Below are 27,098 nucleotides of genomic sequence, written 5' to 3'. Positions count from 1 at the left end.
ACACACACACACACACACAATAATCAGTAACATACTTCTTTTGAAGGATTGGGAAATGTTACTAGATGGAAAACTAATCTGATCTTCTTCTGTTTGCCTGAAAAACAGAGGGAAACTAAGAAAAAGGCTACTAACTAATGCCCCCAATCAATATCCACTCATTTATTTGATGAAAGTAAACAGCAGTGGCAACTAATATGTTTGTAAAGCGGCAAACCTTCAAGTAGGGCATATATCCTTCTCACCCAGATGTTCACCAGTAAATAATACTCACTGTAATGGCTTCTCGCCAGTGTGAATCATCCGGTGCACTGCCAGATTGTGGGAACTCTTGAAGGCCCGAGCACAATATTCACAGATATAATCCCTTTGATCTATGAAGAAAATACTGTGGTTAGTGTTCTATTTAGATACCCTGTAAATATTTTCCCTTACAGTAAGTAAGCAGATGATGGGGCAGGCAATTTAGAGTAAAAGCAATGCTGTTTTCAATGTATAAACACTTTGGGTAAACAAAATTTAAAAAAGAAAAGTATTGCTTTAAAAAAAATCCAACATTCAGTAGCATAAGGACCTGTTTAAAAAAAAACAAAAACAAACAGAAAAACTAGATAAAAATATAAGAAATGGAATCCTAATCTCAATTTTACCACTAATCCAGGTCTTGGATACCAAGTGGTTAGCAAGTAAACAACTATATTTTCCATATATTTTACTCCTTTAAGGAGTAAACAATTTTTTTCACAGACAATGAAAACTGAATGATTACACAGAAAGAATCTGGCATTCAAACAAAACAAAAACAAAAAACAAGAACTTGGCACTGTATAGAAGAAAACTGATCTAAAGGTAATCATACCCTGTTTCAGGTTTAAAAAATGTTACTCAAGATAAACTTTTCTCAAAAGACTGGAGTTGCTGCTATCAAATATATGTAAATAACACCTGTACTACTTTACCTTATTCTCCTACCCATCTTCTGCACCTTTCAACTACCTCCCTTTGTCACTCACAACACCCTCAACCCCATTATGCAGGATTTCTGATGAATGTGGTAACACGGTGTGGAATCTATGAGGAGGAAAAAGGAGCATTGTACTTATTCATTTCTTTACCGTGTTTGGGAAGCCCGTGCACAAAGAGATGCTCTCTATATATATTTGTTGAATTAATGACCACTACATTTTCTACTCCTTTTGCTTCAAATTACCAGAATTAATGAGAATGAAAACATGAATTTAAGTTAAAAGGTGAACAATATCCAATTTAATCTTATACTCCTTTCCAAACAGCTTAGAGATCACCTGGATAGCTTATTAAATGTATATGCTGATTCAGCAGGTCTGAAGCAGGGCCTGAGATTCTGTATCTCTAATAAGAACCCAAATGATGTCAATGCTGGTTGGTCTGTATTCCATACTTTATATAGCAAGGTCTAAAAACGCACAGTTCTAACTTAGGAAACTCTTAGCATCTCCCAGGTCATGTCCACATTTCCAGTTCCATAGCAGGACAAACCTGTGTGGGGCATCTATTTGCTAAATAAATGACATTTGCAAAAAAAAGTCTGTATATACTAATTTGCAAAAGTAAAACATCATAAATTGTATTAACCAAATATAAATATTTGAAATGGACTGAATTTATAAAAGTTTTTCATACGCTTTTGATATTTAACTAAAACAATCTAAAGTGGCTGTCAGAAACAACTTTTCTATGGCATAAAACAGTATTAACAGGGAGCAGAAGGAACAGAGAAATTGCAGTACCTATCAAGAAACAGAAATAACTGTTACTTGTGGAAATAACTCTGAAGAAACATGGTATAAGAAAACTGTAGACTTTGGAGTGATTAAGATTCAAGTTCAATCCTGGTATTGTGCCAGGCTCTGTGTAGTCAATAGCATTTTATGTTATCTCATTTCATCCCTACAATAACTGATATTGGTATCCTTAATACACAGAGAAGGAAAAGTGAAAAGAGAAGTTAAGTAACTTTCCTACAGTAAATGAAGGAGTTATTTCATTTATCAGTATGACCTTGGGCAGGAGACATATTTCTACAACTAGAATTCCTAGACTTACTCTCTAAGACTGTTGAGAAGGTAATGTGTAATTATCAAGTGTCTGGGACATACTCAGTGGTATGCACCCAATTTGTTCCTATTAGGTACACTGCACTGAGATGGTCAGTGGTTACAAATAAATTGAATTTGAGTCTATTCTATAATACATATTGCAGACACTCAGCAACTCTTTTTGACAGTTCCTATGGGAGTTTACATGCAAATTCAACAGCTAGACTTCACAGTTTCAATAGCAGCAGAGTATTATGCTTCTCCTAAAAACTAGCTATGTGACCATGGGCAGGTTACTTAATCCTGCCAAGCTTCTAGTTTCTTAGCTGTAAAATAAGATCAATATAAACAAATTTAGTGGTGTTGAATAGACTAATTAGCAATAATATACATAACGTATTTAGTCCACAGTTGATACAGAATAAATGCTCAATAGAAGATCATTATCCCGGTCATAGAAGTTCAAGAAGTCAAAGGATAAAAATTCAAAAGTCCTAGTCTGCCCATCCCTTGTAAAATTTGTCTTACTACATTTTATTTTCACACCTTTTCCCCGCACTTGACTATAGAATCTTTTAAGACTTATGTTAGAAAAACGTTATCATTACCAACATGCAAAACTAAAGCACAGTGCAATTACCTACTTGATAAACACATTTTAAAAGTACCTGTATGATGTTTGGCATGTCGCAGAAGTTGCTTCTGAAGCCTGAAGAGTCGTCCACAGGAGGGATGGGGACATACATATTTCTTCTTCAGCAAATGCTGGTATTTAATGTGGTGCTAAAACAGAGAAAGTGAAAGGGGCGAAAAAAAAAAAATTAAGGCTTCCTGAAAGTACTTGTCTTTGCTAAGTCAAAAGTACTGAAGGAAAACCAAATACTTAGATTTCACACATGGATAGTGAGGGAGTATAATAAAGTGGCTAAGAACATAGGTGGAAATACACAGACCTGGTTTCCAATCTGGGTCTGTCATTCACTAGCCTTTGTAATCTTAGGAGACAAATATTTCAAGCTCCAGTTCTCATTTGTAAAATGGAGGTAACAATAACCATCTCAAAGTGTTGTTATGGGGATAAGAGATTATGTATTGTACTGTGCTTTAGAGCAGCAAATGGCACACAGCAGAGGAGGAGCGGCTATTGTTATAACTGAACCACGATCCAGAAGAAGGCCTTCGTGTCATGTTATATTTGTTGCTGAAGATCAAACAGGTATTTCCTAAGCAGTATTTCACTTTCACGTTTCCTGCCAGACCTAAATATAAGTGGTACGTTTACTCATCAAAAATAATAATAATAATCTACTCAAGAAAAATAAAAACAAAACCTCAACTAAAAGTCTTTTATTCATTCTACACAGTACCCAAGAAATCACAGGTTTGAGTTCTAATTTTACTTTTTTTCTAAATCACTTTAAAATAAAATGTTACTCTGTATTTACACCACATTGGGAATTACTGTAATATTGAAAGATTCCAACGAAAGTTCTCTATGTGGGTTCAGATTCTTAGTCACCTCTTTTTAAACAGGAGGTGCTATGAATTTGGATGTGTTCACCACAGTTCATGTGTTGGAAACTTAATCCCCAATGTGATAGTGTTGGAAGGCGGGACCTAATGGGAGGTGCTTAGGTCTTAAAGGCTCTACCCTTATATAAATGGGTTGATATTATCATTGGAGTAGATTTGTTACAAAAGCAAGTTCAACCCATTCTTGCCCTTCCACCATGGGCTGACACAGTTAAAAGGCTCTTGTGAGATGTGGGCACCATGCTTTTGGACTTTCCAGTCTCCAGAACCACAAGCTAATAAATAAATATATGTTCTTTGTAAATTACCCAGTCTCAGGTACTCTATTATAGCAGCACAAATGGACTAATCATGATTAACCCATTTATGCTGGAGGTTGCAAATGTATTTTTGTGAAAAATCAGACCTTGGTGATGACCTTGAACAGTAGGATATAAATAACTTGCCCAAGCTTAGCATTCTAATAATGGAACACTAGGCATAAATGGGTTAAAGTCATTTTATGTTTAAAGAAAGACTTTTCTTGACATTACATGTCAATGATAAAGCCTACACAAGCCAACAAATTAAAGTCTCGTGGTGCAAGAACAAGTAATGGAACACAACCTGAAAGGCTCTTATATAACAACTTCACTGACCTGCAAATAGCGAGGATGGGCAAGGACAGTTCCACATCCTTCCATCTCACAACGGACATACTGGATTGGAGGCTTTTTTCTATTATCAAAATGCAGAAGAAAAGTTAGCAAAAAAAAAAAAGTGGTACTCTGCACAGTGGCCTCTGACTTAAACTGTGCTATTGGGAATAGCTATTTTATAGTAGGAAGAATTAAAATCTCTTTACTACTATACAGATTACACAGAATTTGTATTAGAAGTAACCAAGAATTAGCAAATATTTGACAGAATTAAAAAGTAACACAAATAAACTAATGACCCCCCAAAGGTAAAGTATTAAGATTGTTAGAAATTTCAAGCTCTTACAATGAAAATAAGATCATAACACCTGTGCATCTAGGACATTAGTGAAGTTGCTTTTGTGAAATTTTTAAATAGCCATTCCTGCAGGATTATCATGAAGTCTAAATTTGTGAGTAAAGTGCCTGGTACTGGAATAAGGTGTAAAACAGTAGGGGTAAAAATTCCTCACCTCCTTTTGGGTAAACGTGGACTTTTGTCATCTTTTCGTCTTCTTCCTCTCCTGTAATTGAAGACAGGGTAACAGTAGACATATTCTGAATCAAAACTACACAGTGAAGGCTGGCTGAAGACACACACACACACACACGGCCAAAGAACAAGTGGCAAAGGATAACCAAGAATACATAAAGTCAAAGATATATCTGGCAAATCAAGCAAGTAATTTTACCCTGAAGTAATTTCACTTTCAAATCAGTCTGTAAGACAGATTAAATATATACCTTCCATAAACTATGCAATACTATGAAAGACTTAGAAGAATCTCAATGTATTACTTTTAGAGTTGCTACCATGTATCATCTAAAAACACTAAGATTAAAAAATACCTTCTCCTTGCAATAGAACTGAAAAACCTAAACATTTTTTTACTAAGAGTCTCTCCAGTGAAATTGTCAGCTGCTTGAGGCCAAATTTTTTTAAGTTAAAAAATACATATTTTGAAGCATGTATACGTCAACATCCTTCCTCACACTCCCACTCTTTTTTCCACTAGTCGTTCAAAATCTGTTAGATTTTCATTTTTAATAATTGCCTACTCACTTCCTTGGAGGTTCCTCATCCTCTCTAATTTCATTCTCCTCTTCTTTCACCTCCACCTCTACTTCCACTTTAATTTCCTTCTTCTCCTTCTCTTCTTTTACCTTCCCTGATTTTCTCCGTGGCTTTGGGGTTTCCCTGAAAACACAAATGCATTTCAATACTAGACAAAAGATCTTTTCAAGGAAGACTATGACAACAAATTAAAGCTTAGAGTTATCACTGATTTGTTATAAAACTACCTTCCTCAGTTCATGAAATGTGATTTCCTACCAATCATCCTCACATGCATAGTAATGATCCAAATATATGTATATGTTGCTCATGGAATGAACCCTCCCCAGACTAAAGATGCCTGTAAATCAAATTTCACTATAATTGTAAAGAGAAACGAGACAATTAGTTAAAAAATTCTAAGTATTCAGGCAATTCATGATACCTTGTTGAAATAAAACATGCAGACTCATAAAAACTTGTATATAATCAAAATAAAGTTCTACAAATGGGAAAGAGGATTATTATCAGGGTATATTAAGGTGTTAGACTTACAAAAGAAGTGCATAATTAATTACTCATTTAAAATTAATTCTATACCCATTAGCTTGGCAACAGATAAAATAAAAGCATGCAACAGTGCTTTCCTACTTATATTTCATTAACATGTCTGCAGTAAAATCTGAGACATGCCTTTCTAAGTGGGGTTTGTAGGTCTCATCTCTTGGATCATCTTTGAATGGTATCTCCTCTTCACTGATTAACATCTCTTCTTCCTCCTCCTCTTCCTCTTCACTACTAAAAATAAGTAAATAGAAATGAGACATTCTGGTTGTAGCGAACATGTCTGAGGGGATTTTATTTGGTAATTTTTTAAGAGGTAGCCAAACACTGATAAAGTCATCTAGCATTTTCATCCTAATGACCTAATTGGACTGAAATCTAGCTGTTTTATCACAAAGAATAATAATTGAAACTAAAAAGACATAAATCCTAGATAAAGACAGGGTGATGACAACTCAATGGCATTAAAAGTTAAGAAACAACTGACTTTGTAATACTGTCTGGTGATCTGCTATATTAAAAGACCTACTAACAGATAAATCACAACACAAAAGATTCCAATAAAATCTCAAAACCTTGGCCAAAACACCCATATTTCACATTAGTGCCTACCATGGAATAAGTCCAAACACAGAAGATACTCAAGACATGATTTCTAAGCTATGTAAGTAGATTACATGGTTTAAGTTCTAATCAAGCTCAACATGGAATCTAAATGCAGTATCAAAACTGAAGTTAATTTCTCTTACAGCTCAAAATAATTTCAAATGGAAGCAACTTCTGAATCATTTACTGTGACTATGCTATGTCCCCAAAGGTTTAAAAATGAAATATTAATGTTTTTTTTACCTAATGCCACCTGGAGACTGATGCTCTTCTCCAACATCTAGAAAAACAAAGCCAAAAACAAAATTTTATTAGTGTAGATATAAGATATTTTCTCTCTGCAGTCAAGAAATGCAAATCAAATTACTGCATGGGGTAATTATACAAAAGCAGAATATCTGCAAACTGTTCAAAGAAATACCACCTACACCATCAAACCTGCCCCTGACAGTTAAGCTGTTAACACAAATGTTCAACATTACATTTAAAATGTAACAGCAACTAGTTAGTAAACAGCCATATTCTAGTTGCACTGTACCATAATCAAGTTGGTCTGTATTTGGTTCTGACTTGCAAATGAGCTGCAATGAACCGGTCTTGGACCGAGAGCTTCGGGTGTTCTCTGTATCACGATGGCGAGAAACAGATGTCCTACTACTACGCCAGCCCCGGCTAGGTCTAGATGCAGCAATGGAAACTTCCTGAGGGAGGGCAGAATCGTCTTCTTCCTCTTTTTCTTCCTTGGGATCTAAATAAAAAGACATACCATTCTCTTTAAGTTTACAGTTAACCAATAACCATCCCTGTATATCTACTAATTGTAAATACAGTTGAAGATAAATTAAATATTTTCAAAGGAAAAAAAACTGAAGACTTTAATTGAAATAATAAAAAAAGGAAAATGAGATAAAACTTATCCTTAATGTCATCATGCTAAAGAAATTACTTCATGTTGCAAAGTAGTAATTTTATACTGCCTTATCTTCTAAAAAATGCAATGCTAACTATGCAAAATACACTTAAGTAACTGGATTCATGAAATTCTACCTTTTAGATCTAAGTTAAAAGAAACTAAATTAATTAGTCCCAAAAAGATGACCAGAACTACAGAGGCACCAAAAAGAAAGAACCATAGATCTAGATGTTATTTACAACCAAACAAGTCTATAACAAATTACTAAAGAGGAATTCCTAACAGGAGTACTTTTCACTCTAATCAAGAGTTTTTCTTGGAACCACACCATAAATTTGAACTAATCTATAGAGCAATTGAATGGTAAAGTCCAGCTCTGGTGCTATTCTGTTTCAGTTGTCCTATAAGACATTGTGTACAGGAGCACACACAAATCTGTTATTGTTATCCTATATTTTGTCATGTTTTAAGGGTGAAGTACGGTAGGTCATCCTCTCTTGAGTAGTAAGTAATAAAAAGTTAATCTCAGAAACTGGCTTTCATACCTGGCGTAGCTAAATACTTAGACCTATATAAAAAAAAAGTACATTAGAATTGAGCCCATTTTAACAATAGAAGATTCTTTAATAAACTCAGAACGGGAAAGGCCCAATAATAAAACAAAATTTCAGGTCATAAGATACACATAAAAACAATTTTCCTCATGGCAAAAATCAACCATAAACAAAGTCTAATAACCCAATAGAAAAATAGGAACTAACAGGCCGGGCTCAGTGGCTCACACCTGTAATCCCAGCACTTTGAGTGGCCAAGGCGGGCAGATCAAAAGGTCAGGCGTTTGTGACCAGCCTGGCCAACGTGGTGAAACCCCGTCTCTACCAAAAATACAAAAGGTAGCCAGGCGTCGTGGTGCCTAACTGCAATCCCAGCTACTGGGGAGGCTGAGGCAGGAGAATCACTTGAACCCGGGAGGTGGAGGTTGCAGTGAGCTGAGACTGCGCCACTGCACTCCAGCCTCGGCGAAAGAGCAAGACTCCATTCCAAAAAAAGAAAAAACAAAAAACAAAAGCTCAAAGCTCAATCCACTCAGAACAAGAGACTCAAATGAAAACGATAGCATGACACCATTTTTCATGTATCATATTGGGGATGATCATATTTGACAACATAATGTATTGTCAAGACTGTGGGAAAACAGGTCCTCTAACACACATATGATAATGTATTAGCAAAACCTCCATGCAGACCAATTTGACAATATACATCAAAATTATAAATGTATATACCTTTCCACATGATGTTCAACTACTAGAAATTTATCCTACAAAATTACAATCATATTTATAAATGATTAACATATAGCACTGTTTTTAAGTAGTAGAAGAGTAGAAAACAACATTCAAAGAGGGATTGGTTTCACAAATAATTGTGTACATATGTAAGAGAGAGATATATATGTAAGATATATATACACACAAATATATAACTTATGAAACCAATCCCCCTTTGAATGTTTAGTTGTCTACTCTTCTACTACTTAAAAACAGTGCTACACATTAGTCATTACAGTATGTGTGTGTGTGTGTATATATATATATCTTACATACTATAATAACATTTCTGGAAGAAGTACAAGAAATTCTTAAGTACTGGTTACTTCCAAGGTAGGTCCAAAAATATGTGTAGTAATTTCACCTTTAAGTATATGCCCTAGAAATATAAACTACCACATGGAGGTTAACTGTATTATGTTTATAATAGCAAAGAACAGAAACAACCTAACCCTCTGTCAAAGATAAAGTGCTTAAATAAACCATGATACCTTAGTATGATTGAATACTATATAGAGGTAGGTTTATGTTAAAAATGACATGGAATTATCAGCAAAAATATTGTTAAATGTATAAAAAAGACACAAAACTATATATACAGTATGGCAACATTTTTGCTTAACATTAAAAAATAGTTTACTATGGAGCAATGTGGTGACTATAGGCTATTTTAGCTTTAATTACACTGAAAGTTTTATGACAATATACTGAAGTAATGAAATTAGTTTGAAACACAGAGATAAATAGCAGTGCGAACAGTTCTAAACAACCATCAAAATCAGTTGTGCATTTCCTTTCAGCTGTCTTTTTCCATTCATTATTGCATCACCCTCCTATCTGAGCTATTTTAATAGAAAAAATAAAAAATAAAACATTAATATAGGTGAAAATACCTCAAAGGCCATTCAGTCTAAGCACAATCCATTACGTTTTACCCATAAAGTATCTGGAAGCCCAAAAAAGAAGCTTATTCAAAATCACAAGGTTAGCTAAGGACACCTAGATTTAGAAATCATATTTTGAGATTAATAATGAAGGACTTTTACATATAGGTCATGACTACTTTTAAAACAATTTCATCAAAAAGAACAATTCAACACCACCTATGAAGTATTACAACATTTAATAATAGACACATCTTTTTTTTCCTTAACCCAACTGTACCGAGTTGGACTTTGAACTCACTCCATAACCTCCTGTCCTCAACAAAGCTCCTTTCTTCTTCATGATGAAAGGATGGTATGCCCACAACCTCCTATACTGTAGATTTTACTCACTGGATAAATGATGCCAATTTGATAACAATAGTTTACCATTATGAATAAGGCATAATAGCCTATCTTATTGAATACTACTGCTCCCGTCCCCTAAAAATCTAGTCTTAAAAAAAAACCACTCTGTCAGAGATGACAGCAAAAATGTCCCTCCACAGAAATAAACACATATCATGAACAAACACTGTCAGAATCAACTTTGTGGAAACTCTTAACAATAGTTAAAGGTTATAAAAGCCAAGTGAGCACTGAATCAAGAAAAAGGTGAGTAAAGATGTTTAAGGAAATCTGTCAAATCACTTGATGAATATAAGCGAAAGGACCAGAACCTTTAGAGACCACAGAGACCAAAGTAGGAGCTAAACATTAGGTACTCATGGACATAAAGATGGCAACAACAGAAACTGGAGATTATTGGGGGGAGGTTGAAAAACTATTGGGTACTATGCTCAGTACCTGCATGATGGGATCATTTGTATCCTAAATTTCATATCATACAATATGCCCCAGTAACAAACCTGCACATGTACCCCCGAATCTAAAATAAAAGTTGTAAAAAACAATGTTTAAAGAACTAAAGACAATCAGAGCTAAAGAAAATCACTGACAAAGTACTAAAGGAAATCAGAAGAAATATGTCTCGACAAATACAGAATACCAATAAAAAGATAACTATAAAAAGGAACCAAGAGAGGCCGGGTACAGTGGCTCACACCTGTAATCCCAGCACTCTGGAGGGCCAAGGTGGGCGGATCACCTGAGGTCAGGAGTTCGAGACCAGCCTGGCCAACATGGCAAAACCCCGTCTCTACTAAAAATACAAAAATTAGCTGGGCTGCTTGTAGCAGCGCATCCCTGTATTCTCAGCTACTTGGGAGGCTGAGGTAGGAGAATCACTTGAACCCAGGAGGTGGAGGGTGCAGTGAGCCGAGATAACACCATTGCACTCCAGCATAGGCGACAAGAGTGAAACCACACCCCCCCCACAAAAAAGGAACTAAGAGAAAAAAATTCTAGAGCTGAGAAGTATAATAACTGAAATTAAAAATTCACCGCAGACTTGAAAAACAAGAATCAGTGAACTTTAAGCTAGGCCAACAGAGATGATCCAGTATGAAGAATATAAAGAAAAAAAGAATAAAGGAAAATAAAGCCTAAGAGATCGTTTAGACAACCATTAAGCATGCCAACAGATGCATAATAAGATTTGCAGAAGGAGAGGAGAAAATGAACAGAAAGAATATTTGAAAAACTATTGGGGAATATAGTCTGTACAAACAAGAACTTTACCTAACTCCTAGTAGGATAAATGAAAGAGATCCCCACCTAGACACATTATTATCAATCGGTAGAAAGACAAATACAAAGAACCATAAAAACAGCAAGAAGTGACTCATAAGCAACAAGGAATACTCAACAAGATTAACAGCCGCTCATCAGAAACCATGGAAGTCAGAAGGCAGTGTGATAACAAAGTGATGAAAGGAAAAAAAAAAATCGTCAAGCAAGAATTCTATAGCTGCCGAAACTATTCTTTAAAAACGAAGATGAAATTAAGACATTACCAGAAAATCAAAAACAGATTATCACTAGTAGATCTGCCCTATAAAAAATGCTATCAGGAATCCTCTAAGATGAAATTAAAGGACACTAGAGAGCACTTAAAGCCATAAATTAAAACACTGGCATATTTTACAGAGGCAAAAATATGATATTGTACTTTTGATTTCTAACTCCTTTTTCTCCCTACATGATTTGAAAGACAAATGTACAAAATAGCAACTGTAAATTTATGTTAATGGGCATTTGACATCAAAACATACACTTTGCAACAATAACATAAATGGTGAGGCACAGAATAGTACAGAGCAGAGATATGTTTACTACTGAAGCTAAACTGGCATTAAACTAGATAAAGTTTAAAGTACTAAATGCAATCCCCAGGTAACCCCTAAGAAAATAAAAATATACAGAAAATGAAAAGAGAAGATGGTACACTGCTATATATCTGCAACACAAGGAAATACAAAGAAAATAAAGATCAAAATAAAAGATATTAAGACAGGTAGAAAACACAAAGCAAAATGGCAGGCCATTCTTATCGGTAGTTTACACATACATATAGTGTGGAATTAAAAGGTACATATTAGCAGAATGGATTAACAAAAAATACAACCAATCTACAATCTGTCTACAAGAAACTCACGTTAGACCTGGTTGTCCAATCTTTTGGCTTCCCTGGGCCACACTGGAAGGAGATGACATGTCTTGGGCCACACATAAAATACACTAATGATAGCTGATAAGATAAAAAAATTTAAAAAAGAACTCATAATGTGTTAAGAAAGTTTACGATTTTGTGTTGGGACACATTCAAAGCCGTTCTGAGCCGCATTCAGACTGCAGGCCATAGTGGACAAGTTTGCTTTAGATCCAAAGACACAAACAGGTTCAAAGTAAAAGAATGGATTAAGATATTACATGCGAATAGTAAGCAAGAGAGAGCTGAAATAATGTATTAGTCTACCAGGGCTGCTCTACCAATCACAACAAACTGGGATGTCTTAAAACAACAGAAATCTATTCTCCCATACTTCTGGAGGATAAAAGTCCAAAATCAACACAATAACAGACCACACTCCCTCTCAGACTCTGAGAAGAATCATTCCTTGCCTCTTCCTAGCTTTTGGTGGTGGTCAACAACTTGGCTTATAGCTGCTAACTTCAATTCTATCTCCATCATCACACGGTGTTTCCTCCTGTCCCATGTGTGATGTCCTTATTCTTATAAGGACATCAGTCATAGTGGATTAGGGCCCATTGTAATACAGAATAACTCCATTATAACTTGATTACATCTGCAAAGATCCTATTTCCAAATAAGTTCATATTTACAGGTATTAAGGGCTAGGACTCAACACATTTTTGGAGGGATAAAATTCAACCCGTAGTAGTCTGTACCTTCTGGTTCCCTAAAATTTATGTCCTTCCAATGTGCAAAATACATTCACCTAATCCCAACCTCCCAGAGTCTTAACCCATTCCAGTATCAAGTCTAAATCCAAACAATACCTAAAAATCATCAACTCAAAAGGGATCAAATCTCATCATCTAGATCAGTTATGAATGAGACTGGGGGTATGGTCCACTCTAGAGCAAAATTCTTCTCCATCTGTGGAGCTGATTCCAAAAAACAATGGTGGGACACTTATAGATTACACATCTCCATATCAAAAGGAAGAAAATAGAAGGGGGGAAAAAGGGTCAGGGGTCCCAAGTTAGTCCAAAACCTAGCGAAAAGCATTAGACTTTAAGCCCTAAGAATAAGCTTTTGTGGATAATGGTTTGTACTCTGAGTCCACTGGGGAAATAGCCCTGCCATCGTGGCCCCAGGAAGTCTAATACACCCAGGACCCAGCATTTGCAGCTCTACCCTCAGCATCATTCTTCTTTAATTCCATTCTGTCTCTGTCCCATTCAGGCCAGCCTGGCAGTGTTTCTGCTGTCACAACATTCTCAAAAACTTTGTCAGTCTTTCATGAAATTCAGGGGGTCGAAGCCACCAAATGAGAGTCCTCCACAGATCTTTCCTGAAAAATTGCATGTCTATTCTGGGAAGTGCTGAGATGGCTGATTCGATCCACAAGTTATATACCAAGTCTCTTTAGAGAATAGCTGTCCAGTCACAGCCTTGGTCCTGTACCACAATACACTATTTGGACAGACTAAAAAATTTTCAAATTATCAAGTGCTGGCTCCTTTTTGCTAAACAATTCATTCCTCAATTTATATCTTTCCTCTCACACATTAGTATATAAGCAAGAAGAAACAAGGCTATACCTTCTACACGTTGTTTGTAAATCTACTCAGATAAATATCCAAGTTCATTGCTTACCCAATGATAGAACACAATTCAGTCAAGTTCTCTGCAACTTTATAACAAGGATCACCTTTTCTCCACTGTCCAATAACATGTTCATCATTTCCTTCTAAGGCCTCATCAGACTGCCTTTAACACTCATATTTCTGTTGACCATCTCTTCAAGGCAATCTACGCTGTTTTTTCTTTTCTTTTTTTTTGAGACAGAGTTTCACTCTTGTTGCCCAGGCTGGAGTGCAACGGCGCAATCTTGGCTCACCGCAATCATCGCCTCCTAGGTTCAAGCAATTCTCCTGCCTCAGCCTCCCGAGTATAGCTGGGATTAGAGGCATGCACCATACCTCAAAATACTCAAAGCCAATATCCATTACCCAATCCCAAAGCTATGCCAACATTTTTAGGTACTTTTTCATAGCCCACTTCCAATACCAAAATGTATTAGTTTCCTAGGGCTGCCATAACAAATTACCACAAAAGCCTATTTACTACAAAGCCCCTATTTCTCAATGTTCCATTCACAGGTACCTGAGTTAAGACTTCAACATCTTTTGAGGAAAGCAATTCAACTCGTAAAGGTGGCCCTACTAATATCAGGCAAAATGCACTTCAACAACTGTTACAAAACACAAAGAACATTATACGTTAATGAGAGGGTCAATCAATCTAGAAAATATAATAAATATAAACCTATACATAGCTAACACAGGCCCCCTCTCCCTCTCCCCCCATCTCTCTCTCGAGATATATCAACATATAACATACATAGCAAAGATTTACAGAACTGAAGAGAAACAGGTAATACCACAATCACAAAAATGGAGACATCTGTATCCCACTTTCAATAACAGAACCAAACACCAGTCAGAAGTTTGATAAGGAAATACAGAACTCAAGCAAAATTAAAAAATTAGACATATTAGACAAAATTAGACATAATGTTAAAAAACAGACATATTGGGCCAGGCGCAGTGGCTCACACCTGTAATCCCAACACTTTGGGAGGCTGAGGCAGGCAGATCACCTGAGGTCAGGAGTTTGAGATCAGCCTGGCCAACATGGCGAAACCCTGTCTCTACTAAGAATACAAAAATTAGCCGGGCATGGTGGCGTGTGTCTGTAGTCCCAGCTACTCGAGGACGCTGAGGCAGGAGAACTGCTTGAACCCAGGAGGTGGAGGTTGCATTGAGCCAAGATCACACCACTGCACTCCAGCCTGGGCGATAGAACGAGACTCCATCTTGGGGGAAAAAAAAAATTCACAGACATATTGAAAAGTCTCAATAAATTTCAAATGGCTGCAGTCATATAAAGTACGTTCTCTCTGACCACAATTGAATGAAACTAGAAATCAATATCAGAAGGAAAACTAGAAAACTCACAAATACATGAAAATTAACACACTGTTAAACCAATGGATCAAAGAATAAATCACAAGGAAAATTACAAAATACTTAGAGATGACTGAAAATGAAAACAAAATATCCCAAAACCTAGGGGATGCAGTGAAAGCAGTTCTCAGAGTAAAATTTCTAGATATAAATGCCTACATTAAAATAGAAAAAAAAAAAAATCACATGCCTGAATCAATAACCTAACATCATACCCATAAGAGCTAGGAAAAAAGGAGCAGAGTAAACCCAAAGCTAGCAGAATAAAGTAAATAAGTTGGTTCTTTGACAAGATAACAAAATCAACAAACTTTTGGTTAATAAGAGAAGACCCAAATTACTAAAACCAGAAATGAAAATGGGACACTACCACTGAAATAAACATAAGAAAACACAATGAACAACTGTTTGCCAACAAATAACATAGATGAAATCAACAACTTCTTAGGCACACACAAATTACCAAAAACAATTCAACAAGAAATGGAAAAGATGAACATATCTTTAACAAGTAGACAACTGAGTCAGTAAACAAAAAGCTCCCAATAAAAAGGCCAGAAGCCTCTAGATGGTTTCATTGGTTGATTCTACCACACATTTAAAGAATTAACTCCAGTCTTCCTCAAACTCTCTTAAAAAATAGAAGATGGAACACTTCCCAACACATCCTATAAACACAGCATTATTCTGACACCAAAGCCAGACAAAGACACCACAAAAAACCATAAGCCAATATCCCTTGCAAACCAAATATAGCATCATATTAAGAAGATTAAACACTATAATCAATTGAGACAGGTCCCAGGATTATGAGGGTGGTTCGATATACAAAAACATATGTAATATCCCACATTAATAAAGAGAGGAAAAAACACACCATTATCTCAATTGATGTAGAAAAAAGAAAAAGAACCTGACAAAATTAAACTTTCATGATAAGAACACACAAAAAACTGGGAATAGAATTGAACTTCCTCAACTTGACAAAGAACACCTTTAAAAACCCCAGAGCTCACATCATACGCAGTGGTAAAAGACAAAGCTCTCCTGCTAAGGTCAGGAACAAGACAAGGATGCCCTCATTCTTCACTTCCATTCAACACTGTACTGGAAGTTCTAGCCAAGTAATTACTCAAGTAAAAAAAGAGGCACCCAAAGTGAAAAGGAAGAAGTAAAACTGTATCTCTATTTGCAGGTGAAAAGACCTTACATATAGAAAATTCTAAAGAATTTTCACAAAAGAAAACTGTTAAAGGTCATATACAAATTCGAAGGGCCAGAATATAATACCAACACGTAACATTCATTGTTTTAAGCATATTAGCAATGAACAAAAAGGAAATTAAGAAAATAATTATTACCTTTATTCAAAGTGCCAGAATATATGACCAACATATAACATTCATTGTTTTAAGTATATTAGCAATGAACAAAAAGGAAATTAAGAAAATGATTACCTTTACAATAGAATAAAAAGGAATAAAATATTGAAAAATTGTTAAGATGACAATACTCTGAAAATAAACCCACAGATTAACTGTAATTCTTATCAAAACCCCAGCTTCCTTTTTGGTAGAAATTGACAACCCAATCCTAAAGTTCACAGGAAAATGCAAGGGATCTACACTAGTCACAGCCATCTTGAAAACAAACAGAATTAAAGACGCACTTTTTTCTTCTCAATTTCAACACTTACTATAAAGCTTCAGTAATCAATACAATGTATTACCGGCATAAAACTAATAATAATTGAATCAACTAACTGAATTAAAGGTCCAGATATAAATCTATACATCTGTGGTCAACTGATTTTTAAGAAGGTGGCTAAGACCATTCAGTAGGTGAAAACAGTCTCTTCAAGAAATGGTGCTAAGACAAATGGATATCCACATGCAAAAAATGACGTTGTATTCCTACCTTATACCATATATAAAAATTAACTCAAAATGGATCAAAGACCTAAACACAGGAGCTAGCACTAAAAAATGCATAGAAGTGAAGATAACCCTACAGAATGGGAGAATATATTTGCAAGTCATATATCTGGTAAAAGTCTAATATCCAAAATATATAAAGTCTTTGGATTTAACAACAAAAAGAGAAACAACCCAATTAAAACATGGGCAAAGAACCTAAACAGATTATTTCTCCAGAGATATACAAAAGGCCAAAAAAGTACTTGAAAAGATACGGAACATCAGTCATTAACGAAATGCAAATCAAAATCACATGAGATTACCATTTCCCACATACTACAATGGCTAACTAAAAATAATAAAAAAAGAAAATAAGAAGTGTTGGTGAGAATGCAGAGAAATTGGAACCATTGTTTATTGCTGGTGGACATGTAAAATGAGGCAGCTAATGAGGAAAACAGTGTTATGGAAAACCTAAGAAAACAGTGTTAAGAAAAATGTTAAGAAAAACTTAGACACAGAATTACCATATGATCCAGCAATTCCACTTCTAGGTACATACACCAAAAATTGAAAACAGCTATTCAAAGAAATACTTATTACATATGAATATTCATAGAAGCACAATTCTCAATACCCAAATTGTGGAAACAACCCAAATATCCATTAACCAGTGAATGGATAAACAAAATGTCATATATACATACAACGAAAATTTTTATCCAGCCATAAAAAGGAATGCAATCTTAACATGTTACAATGTGAACCTTAAAAATATGCTATATGATAGATGCTAGAAACAAAAGTCACATATTGCACATATTGTATGATTCCAATTACATATAATATCCAGAATAGGTAAATCCATAGAGACAAAGCAGATTAATGTTTGTTGCAGCTGAACAGGAGGGAAGGGGGAATAACTGCTTTTAATGGGTACAGGGGTCTCCTTTGTTGGTGGTGATGAAAATGTTTGGAACTAGATAGAAGTGATGGTTGTACAACACTGTAAATGTACCAAATGTCACTGAATTGTATGCTTTCAAGTATTTTTTACTATTTTTTTGTTATGTGAATTTCACCTCAAAACACACACACACACACACACACACACACACACACACACGTGCACAAAAGTATTGCCAGGTTTCTGGAATAGAAATTGACAACTGAAGGACAATCCATACATTAGCATAAACAATCATAAACAGATAGGAAACAAGCCAAGTTTCTTCTGTGTGGTACTTCAAAGACAATTTCCAGTTGTTTCTTATAATAGCAGCTAACCTTGAGGAGGTTCCTTGATACATAAATAATAAGAGAAAAAAGCCATACTAGCTTGGGTAAAGGAAGACATCATACTAGTCACTGCATGAGCAACATGCAGGCACAGTGAATATAACTACAGTTAGTTAACCCTTGAACAACAAAGCTTTGAACTGCATGGATCCATTCATACGCCAGTTTTTTAAAATATGTAAGAAAATTTTTTGGAGATTTGTGACAATTTGAAAAAACTTGCAGACAAACTGTGTAGCCTAGAAATATTGAAAAATTAAGTTATGTCATGAATGCATAAACTATAGATACCACTCTATTTGATGACATTACTGTAAAATATACACAAATATAAAAAGTTAAAATTCAACAAAACTTACACACACAAAGTCTTAGACTATATATGGTATCATCCAAAGTCCAGAGAAATGTAAAGAAACGTAAAGATGTACTAATGAATAACTGCATAAAATTAACTCCGTACATAATAATTTCATAGCTATCTCCTGTTGCTATTGCAGCAAGCTCAGCTGTTTCAAGTATCTGCTTAAAATGTCATGAGGATAATCATCACCACCTGAGTGAATTTACTGTCACAGTAGAAGTGGTATCTCTCAGTTAACTCATTTTTCACTATGTTTAGAGCAATACCTGAAACCTTGACTAACACTACGGGACCCATAAGAGTTGCCACTAGTGATACTGGAAGTGCTTCCAAGAAGCAGAGAAAAGTCACGGTATTACAAGAAAAAGTTGAATTGCTTAATAAGCATAGAAGGTTGAGGTGTGTAGCTGCAGTTGCTCACCATTTTAAGATAAATGAATCCAACATAAAAAGTATTGAAGAAAAGGAAATTTGTGAAGCCACTGCTGCACCTACAGTAGCAGGTGCAAAAATCTTGCAGTTTTTGCAAAATACTTTTATCTCACATTCAAGATGCAGCTTTTATGTGGGTACAGAATTGCTATAAGAAAGGCATACCTACAGACTCTAAGTAAACTCATTATATGACAACTTAAAGCAAAAGAAAGGTGAAGAAAGAATTTAATGTCAGCAAAGAATGGTTTGATAATTTCAGAAAGAGATTTGGCTTTAAAAATGTCAAGATAATAGGAGAAACAGCTTCTACTGACCAAGAGGCAGCAGACAAGTTCCCAGGCACTGTTAAGAAAACAGCTGAGGAAGGATATCTGCCTAAGTTTTTAATGCAACTACCCCAGTCCAGAAAAAAATGCCACAAGAGACATTTATTATATTAGTAAGGTGGGGAAGTAAGCAACAAGATTTAAAGCAGGAAAGGATAGGCTAACTCCACTGTTTTGTGTAAAAGCAGTTAGGTTTATGATCAGGGCTGCCCTTATCTATAAAGCTACTAACTCCTGAGCCTCGAAGAGAAAAACTAACAATCTTTTGGTGGTACAACAAAAAGGTCAGGAAAACAAGAACTAATTTTCTAGACTGGTTCCATTGATGCTTTGCCCCTGAAGTAAAAAAGTACCTTGCCAGTTAGGGACTGCCTTTTATGGTTCTTTTGATATTGGACAATGCCCCTGGTTACCTCATGAATTTAACATCAAAGGTGTTGAAGTGGTCTACTTGCCCCCCAAACACAATGTCTCTAATTCACCTTCCCAATCAGCGGGTCATAAGAATCTTTAAGTCTCATTACACGATATTCTATGGAAAAGGACTGTTAACTCCATGTAAGAAAATCCCAATAGAGAGAACATCATGAAAGTCAGGAAGGATTACACCACTGAAGATGCCATCGTTATAGAAAATTCCTGCTGGAGAAAATTGTGTCCAGATGTTGTGCATGACTTCACAGGATTTATGGCAGAGCCAATCAAGGAAATCATGAAAGAGATTGTGAATATGGCAAAAAAAAAAAAAAGGTGGTGGTGGGGTGGTGATGGTGAAGCCTTTAAAAATAAGCATCTTGGATAAATTCAGGTGCAAACAGACACCACACAAGAGGAAGTAACAAGATGACATGATGAAGATGAGTGCTTTTGAACAGGGGCCAGACGATCAGAAAGACAACATATAAGCAGCAATGCCAGAAAACAAACTAACATTAAAAACTTAGAAATTCTGGCAGAAAGGTTCCAATTATTCAAGACTGCTTTTGACTTCCTTTTATGACAGGAACCCTTCTATGATATCTGCCCTGAAACTAAAGCAAATGGTTAAAGTGTAGAAACATTTGTAGAGAAACGAAAAAGCAAAAAAGAAGTCAGGCAGAAATTGTATTTCTGTAAAGCTACGCCAAATGTTCCTGCCACTCCTTCTACCTCTGTCACCCCCTGAGATAAGAGTAACGATTCTTCTTCTTCCTCCTCCTTAGCCTACTCAATGTGAAGAAGAGGACAAAGACCTTATAACGATCCACTTACACTTAATGAATAGTAAATATATTCTCTTCCTTATGGTTTTTTTAAATAAATTTTCTTCTCTCCAGATTATTTTACTGTAAGAATACAGGATATAATACACATATAAAATATGAATTAGTTGACTTTATGTTATTGATAAAGCTTCTGGTCAACAGCAGGCTATTAGTAAAGTTTCTGGGAAGTTAAATGCAGGTTTTTGTTTGTGAGGGGGAGGTGGTGCCCCTAACCCTACCATGTTGTTCAAGGGCCAACTGTACATTCTTGAAAGAAGGTATGAAGTAAGAGTGGTTTATACTATGAGTTGAGACAATAAGAGATTAATGCTAGGCCAGGCGTGCTGGCTCAAGCCTATACCCAGCACTTTGGGAGGTGGAGATGGGTAGGTCACTTGAGGTCAGGAGTTCCAGACCAGCCTCGCCAACATGATGAAACCCTGTCTCTACTAAAAATACAAAAATTAGCCAGGCCGGTGGTGGCGCACACCAGTCCCAGCTACTCAGGAGGTCAAGACAAGAGAACTGCTTGAACCCAGGAGGCAGAGGTTGCAGTGAGTTGAGATCGCACCACTGCATTCCAGCCTGGGCAACAAAGTACGACCCCGTCTCAAAACCAAAAAAAAAAAAAAAAAGATTGATACTACTGGCAGGAATGTTTTCTTCTAATTCTTCTAGATAGCAGACAATGAAATATGATTTATCTCAATCCTACAGCCAGAGATAATTATTATAACAAGTCAAACCATCAAATTCCAAAAGATGAGAGCCACTTGGTCATGATAAAATACTTTAAGTTAGAAGGGCCATTCTAACATAATCAATGCTATTATTTTATTGTAGGGTGAAACAGGGTGTGGTTAGTTGATAAGCTGGGAAGATACTAAAGGTAAAGGTCTTCAAATCTCTCTTTAAGTATTTAAATTTCTTCTGGGCAATTAACAAATCTTAAGTATTAACTGCTAGGTAATATATATTTTTTTCATTTCTCAAAAATCAGTTATAACCCTATCAAGTATTTATTATTCTTATCTTCATAGATGAAGAAACCAAGTAACTGACTTTCCCAAGTGCACATATTAAAAGCTGCTGAGGGAACTGAACACGGGTATATCTAAGTCCAGTCTATATTCTTTCTACTATACCACACCTAACCATATAAACGAGAAATGGAAAGCACCACGGCAAGGGCTCAATCCAGATTTGGCTCATTTCCACCCAGCCTTGGATTCAAGTGCCAAGAGGGCCCCATTTATATAATATACTAACCTGAAACACCTGTAAGAATTATTCCATGAGTGAATTTTTAACCTAAAGCCACATGCTGTATTTCCTTATGTTTCAAAACAGAACTAGAGAAATTTTATTGTGATTAAAAACCGGAAAATAAATGAGATTTTAAAATTGTATTTAAGAAATTTAGAATGTTTACATTCCAAAACAGTTTACTCATTTTTAAATCAACACTGTGTATTAATGCCTAGATTTTTCTTTCTTATTCTAGTCATCTCTGTTTACTCCATCTACATATGTTTTTTCCTGGCTTACTGATTTCAAAGCAGACATCAGCCACTGGTGCACTGACAGAAAGGATAAAAAATATTAGGCTTTCACAGAATTTCTGCAGATATTAAAATTTTGGAGCAAAACAAAAATAGAATCACAAAGTAATGTCATCAAAGTTCAAAGTATAGGCATTAGGTGAATTAGTTCTGCTTCTTAAAAACATTAAGACTTTGCTCAGACATAAGTTTGAGAAGGTGAAAGGATGGTTTCTCTGAAAACACAGCTCTTAAAACTAGTGCTTATTAACTTAATGATCTCTATAGCTAAGAATTAGCTCAACATTTAAGTTTAAATAAATATGGTGAACTCTGAAGAATAAATAAGTGGTAGCTAGCTGATAAAGAAGGGGCAGGAGAAACGAGTACATGTACATGTCTTGAGAATTGAAAGAAAGAAGATAAACATGACTGCAGCAGAGAAAACATGACAAAACCCATCATTTATCATGCCGAGGAGGCATAAAAAAGTCTAACAAGGTCCTTCCAGGATTTTGAATCTTATCCTAATAGCCACAGACAGAGTTTAAACAGAACGGTGACATGATCAGATTTGCATTTTTAATGTTCATGTTGGCTGCAGGCTAGACAATGAGCTAGGTAGGGGCAAGAGTAGATGCTAGGTAACCAGCTAAAAACCTACTCCAATATGCCAGGCAACAGATAATAATGGCTTTAAAGAGGGTAATACCACTGAATATGGAAAGAATTAGAGATATAAGAAATACTTAGGAAACAGACGAGACAGGACTAGAGAATAACTTAACAGGGATAGAGGGAGATGCCAAGGATTTGGGATTCTAGATTTCTGACTTGAACAATTGGACTGATGATGAAAACAAAGAAAAAGATCAGGGTTTTTTGTTTCTTGAAGAGACACTAGAGAGAATATGTGTTCTGCTTTGACCAAGTCTGAGATTACTGCTGAGTAAAACATCAACAGGCCTAAAGTTCAAAGGACAGGGCGGGCTACAAACATAAAATTGGGAATTGTCAGCACATAAAAACAAACTATTATTGTCTAGATTTAGCTTGGTTCATATAAAATGGATCATTTTCAATATTTATGAAATGTGTTGTTTTTGGCTATCCCCAACATCTGGCTTATTCATTGATTTCTCTCTTCCAGCAGCAGTTTTGCATTAAAAAATATATTAAAAACAACCACAGTACAATCTTGTTCTGTTCATATCACTTTTTCTGGGGCATGAAAGACATATACAAGCGTAGCACTAATATTGAGAACACGTTTAAGAAAAGGAAAGAGCAGAGAAAAATATTTGTGTATAAATTTATTGTAGCCTAAGTATACAGTGTTGATAAGGGGACCCATGCAGTTTCATCACCTGCTGGTGCTCTCTGAGCATCTGGTGGCTGCTGGGGACAGACAGATAAACTTAGAGTTTCATTCAAAACAATAGAACACACACCAACTTAGCAACTGTGAAATATGTAATACATTATTATTAACTGTGGTCACCGTGCAGTGTGATATAGTTTGGATGTTTGTCCTCTTCAAATCTCATGTTGAAATGTGATCCCTAATATTGGATGTGGGAGGTGTTTGTGTAATGGGGGTGGATCCCTCATGAATGGCTTGGTGCCATCCCTGTGGTAATAGGTGAGTTCTCTATTGCTTCATGTGAGACCTGGTTGTTTAAGAGCCTAGCCCCTCCTCCCCTCTCTCTCGCTCTCACTCTGTGACACACCTGCTCCACCTCCACCTTCCACCACAAGCGAAAGCTTCCAGGGGCCTCACCAGAAGTCTAGCTGATGCTGGTGCCATGCTTGTACAGCCTGCAGAACCATGAGTCAGAAAAAACTCTTTTCTTTACAAATCATTCAGTCTCACATATTCCTTTCTAGCAACTCAAAAGGGACTAATACACAGTGCAATAGATCATTAAAACCTACTCTCCCAATTTAACTGAAAGTCTGTATGTACCTTTTCATCTCCATCTCCCCTTTTCTCATTCCACCTCCTAACCCCCCAGCGTTCGGTAACTACATTTCTATGAGACAGTTATTTAGATTACACACAAGCGAGATCATACAGTGTTATCCTTCTGTGCTTGGCGCATTTTACTTAGCATAATGTCCTCTGGTTCCACCCACGTTGTCACGAATGACAGAATTTCCTTCATTTTAAAGATCATCTGTTTGATACCTTAGAACATTCTGGTCAAAGTAATGATATAATGAAATTAGCTGGTTGCTCTTAACTAGAAAACATGAAGTGGATAAAGAAAAGGATGTGCAGACTGGACACGGTGGATCATGCCTATAATCCCAGCACTTTGGGAGGCTGAGGCAGGGAGATCATCTGAGGTCAGGAGTTTGAGACCAGGCTGGCCAACATGGTGAAACTCCATCTCTACTAAAAAAATACAAAAAATTAGGCAGATGTGGTGGTACACCACCTCTAATCCCAGCTAATCAGGAGGCTGAGGCAGGAGGATCACTTGAACCCAGGAGGCAGAGGCTGCAGTGAGCCGATATCACGTCACTGCACTCCAGCCTGGGCAAGAGTGAAATTCAGTCTCCAAAAAAAAAAAAAAAAAAAAAAGATGTGCTCAGGGGTTCAAATTCCCAGCTCGAGCATCACAAAAATTACCTCAAAGTTTCTGTGTCTTTCCTGAAAACAATACTTACCTACTACAGCTGCAAAACTGAGATTGCTGAAAACCAAACCCAGGCTGACCTGGCTACAGCCACTGCTAATTGCCTAATATGCCAGCAGCAGAGACCAACACCGAGTCCCTGATATGGCACCATTCCCTGGGGTGATCATCCAGCTCACCTGGTGCAAGGTTCGCTACATTGGACCACTTCCATCATGGAAGTGGCAGTGCTTTGTTGTTACTGGAATAGACTCTAGATACAAATTTGTCTTGCCTGCATAATGCTTCCTACATACATTGCATAATGCTTCCTATATACAAACACAAATTGTATGTCTGAGTCCATTTACACAAAATGTCCAGAAAAAAAACAAATCTATACAGACAGAAAGTAGATTAATGGTTGCCTAGGGTTGGGGGTGAGAATACGGATTAACTATAAACAGGCATGAAGGACATTATTAGGGTGAAGAAAAAGTTCTAAAACTGTATTGTGATAGGTGTGCAATTCATACAATGTACCAAGATCCCTAAATTGTACATTTGAAATGGGTGAATTTTATGATGTATAAATTACATCCCAATAACACTATATTTCAAAAATATACATCACAGTACTAGTCATAAAGACTAATAACTGAAAACTGCCCAAACATCCATCAACAGTAAAACAGTTAAACTGTGGTTATATTCCCACAATGGGACACTATACAACAACTAAAATAAACGATCTATGACAAACACAGCATTTGTCACAAATGATGAGCAAAATAAGCGAGACACAAAAGAGTGCCTACTGTATTATCCCATTTATGTAAAATTCAAAAATTGGCAAATCTAATTTCTGCTAAAGTCAAAATAGTGGTTACACTTGGGGGCGGTTGACTTGAAGGAGCATAAGGGAGTTTCCAAAACAATTATGTTTTATTTCTTCAGTTGTGTAAATGGTTACATGATTGGGCTCACCCTGGGTCCACCCACTTATAAAATAAAGAAGGGGGAGGAGAAACAAGAGTACATGTATATGTCTTATAATATGTGCATTTCTGTATACGTATGGTACATTTTAATAGGATTTCTCTAAAAATCACCTGTAATCTCAGGAAAAAAAAAAAACCCAGAAATATCAAATGCCCTTCAGTTAGGTAACGGTTAAATAATAGAATATAAATGTACAGTAGCCATGACTGGATATCCACAAAGCATCTAGGCACCTCTTCTTTCTTAAAGAATCAATCCCACTCTTAAACACAGTGGGAATCCCAATTAAGCTAAGCTAACAGCATCAAAAAATATGAAATACTCAGGGATATATGGGATAAAAAATTTGAAAGACCTATACACTGAAAAGTACAAAACATTGCTGAGTAAAATTAAAAACCTAAGTAAATGGAGCAGTATATCTTGCTTATAGGGTTGTAAATACTAATATAAATTTTATTTTGATTTTATGACTTCGATTTTCTATTTTTTGTTGCTGATATACAGAAATACAACTGATTGATTATACTGTGGGGGTGGTTTCAAGACACCTTGCAGTTACTGCCTTCAGGATTTTGGAACACTGCGCCACAACCACCATAATATAAAACAAGTCTGAACTGAATGACCAATGAGGAGGGGGGAATGGCCCAACCAGTAAATAATAAATTGCTGTGTTTTAAGCCACTAAATTTTTAGATGGTTTGTTATGAAGCTAAAGAAGCCTTTGCCCGGATAGCATTAGATTATTCAGGCTGGTTTTAATTCAGAGGAATTTCTTCTTTCTTGAACTTAACAGTCAAGGGGCAATATTACTTTTTGTCACAGATTCTTATCCACTAAGGCTCATTTCAAAATGAAGATACAAGCAAGTCTCTCTTAAAGGTTTTGGATTTGTACTGGCTGAATATGGCTTTCCCCACTAAGGATTTTAAGTTTCCTCTGCTTCAGTTTTCTTCTATCAGGGCATTCTGCTTTAACTCTCAAGTGGTCTTGGCAGGAAAAGGGATCTCAATGTAAAATAATATATATAGCAGAATAAACTTATAACT

General features: G+C 36.0%; 1 protein-coding gene and 1 long non-coding RNA gene across 3 annotated transcripts in view; both read right to left on the bottom strand.

Annotated features, from left to right (window-relative positions):
* The window catches only part of ZFP91 (ZFP91 zinc finger protein, atypical E3 ubiquitin ligase), a 42,488-nt gene that overhangs the window by 4,461 nt on the left and 10,929 nt on the right, over window positions 1-27,098 (bottom strand). Inside the window, exons 3-10 of one of the 2 annotated variants that reach the window (NM_053023.5) lie at window positions 7,051-7,260; window positions 6,756-6,792; window positions 6,036-6,140; window positions 5,352-5,486; window positions 4,762-4,812; window positions 4,250-4,328; window positions 2,747-2,861; window positions 275-374 (exon numbers count right to left, since the gene is read on the bottom strand). In NM_053023.5, the coding sequence (NP_444251.1) occupies window positions 275-374; window positions 2,747-2,861; window positions 4,250-4,328; window positions 4,762-4,812; window positions 5,352-5,486; window positions 6,036-6,140; window positions 6,756-6,792; window positions 7,051-7,260 (832 nt within the window). The remainder of the gene's footprint in view (window positions 1-274; window positions 375-2,746; window positions 2,862-4,249; window positions 4,329-4,761; window positions 4,813-5,351; window positions 5,487-6,035; window positions 6,141-6,755; window positions 6,793-7,050; window positions 7,261-27,098) is intronic. The other variant, NM_001197051.2, reaches the window with a different exon arrangement.
* Window positions 1-27,098, bottom strand: part of ZFP91-CNTF (ZFP91-CNTF readthrough (NMD candidate)) — a 46,620-nt gene that overhangs the window by 8,644 nt on the left and 10,878 nt on the right. Inside the window, exons 3-10 of the long non-coding RNA NR_024091.1 lie at window positions 7,051-7,260; window positions 6,756-6,792; window positions 6,036-6,140; window positions 5,352-5,486; window positions 4,762-4,812; window positions 4,250-4,328; window positions 2,747-2,861; window positions 275-374 (exon numbers count right to left, since the gene is read on the bottom strand). This is a non-coding gene — a long non-coding RNA (ZFP91-CNTF readthrough (NMD candidate)). The remainder of the gene's footprint in view (window positions 1-274; window positions 375-2,746; window positions 2,862-4,249; window positions 4,329-4,761; window positions 4,813-5,351; window positions 5,487-6,035; window positions 6,141-6,755; window positions 6,793-7,050; window positions 7,261-27,098) is intronic.

This window comes from Homo sapiens, chromosome 11, assembly GCF_000001405.40.
Source record: "Homo sapiens chromosome 11, GRCh38.p14 Primary Assembly".
Classification (NCBI taxonomy): Eukaryota; Metazoa; Chordata; class Mammalia; order Primates; family Hominidae; genus Homo; species Homo sapiens.
The sequence above is the reverse complement of the archived record's forward strand: the minus strand, read 5'-3'. Positions and strand labels throughout refer to the sequence as shown.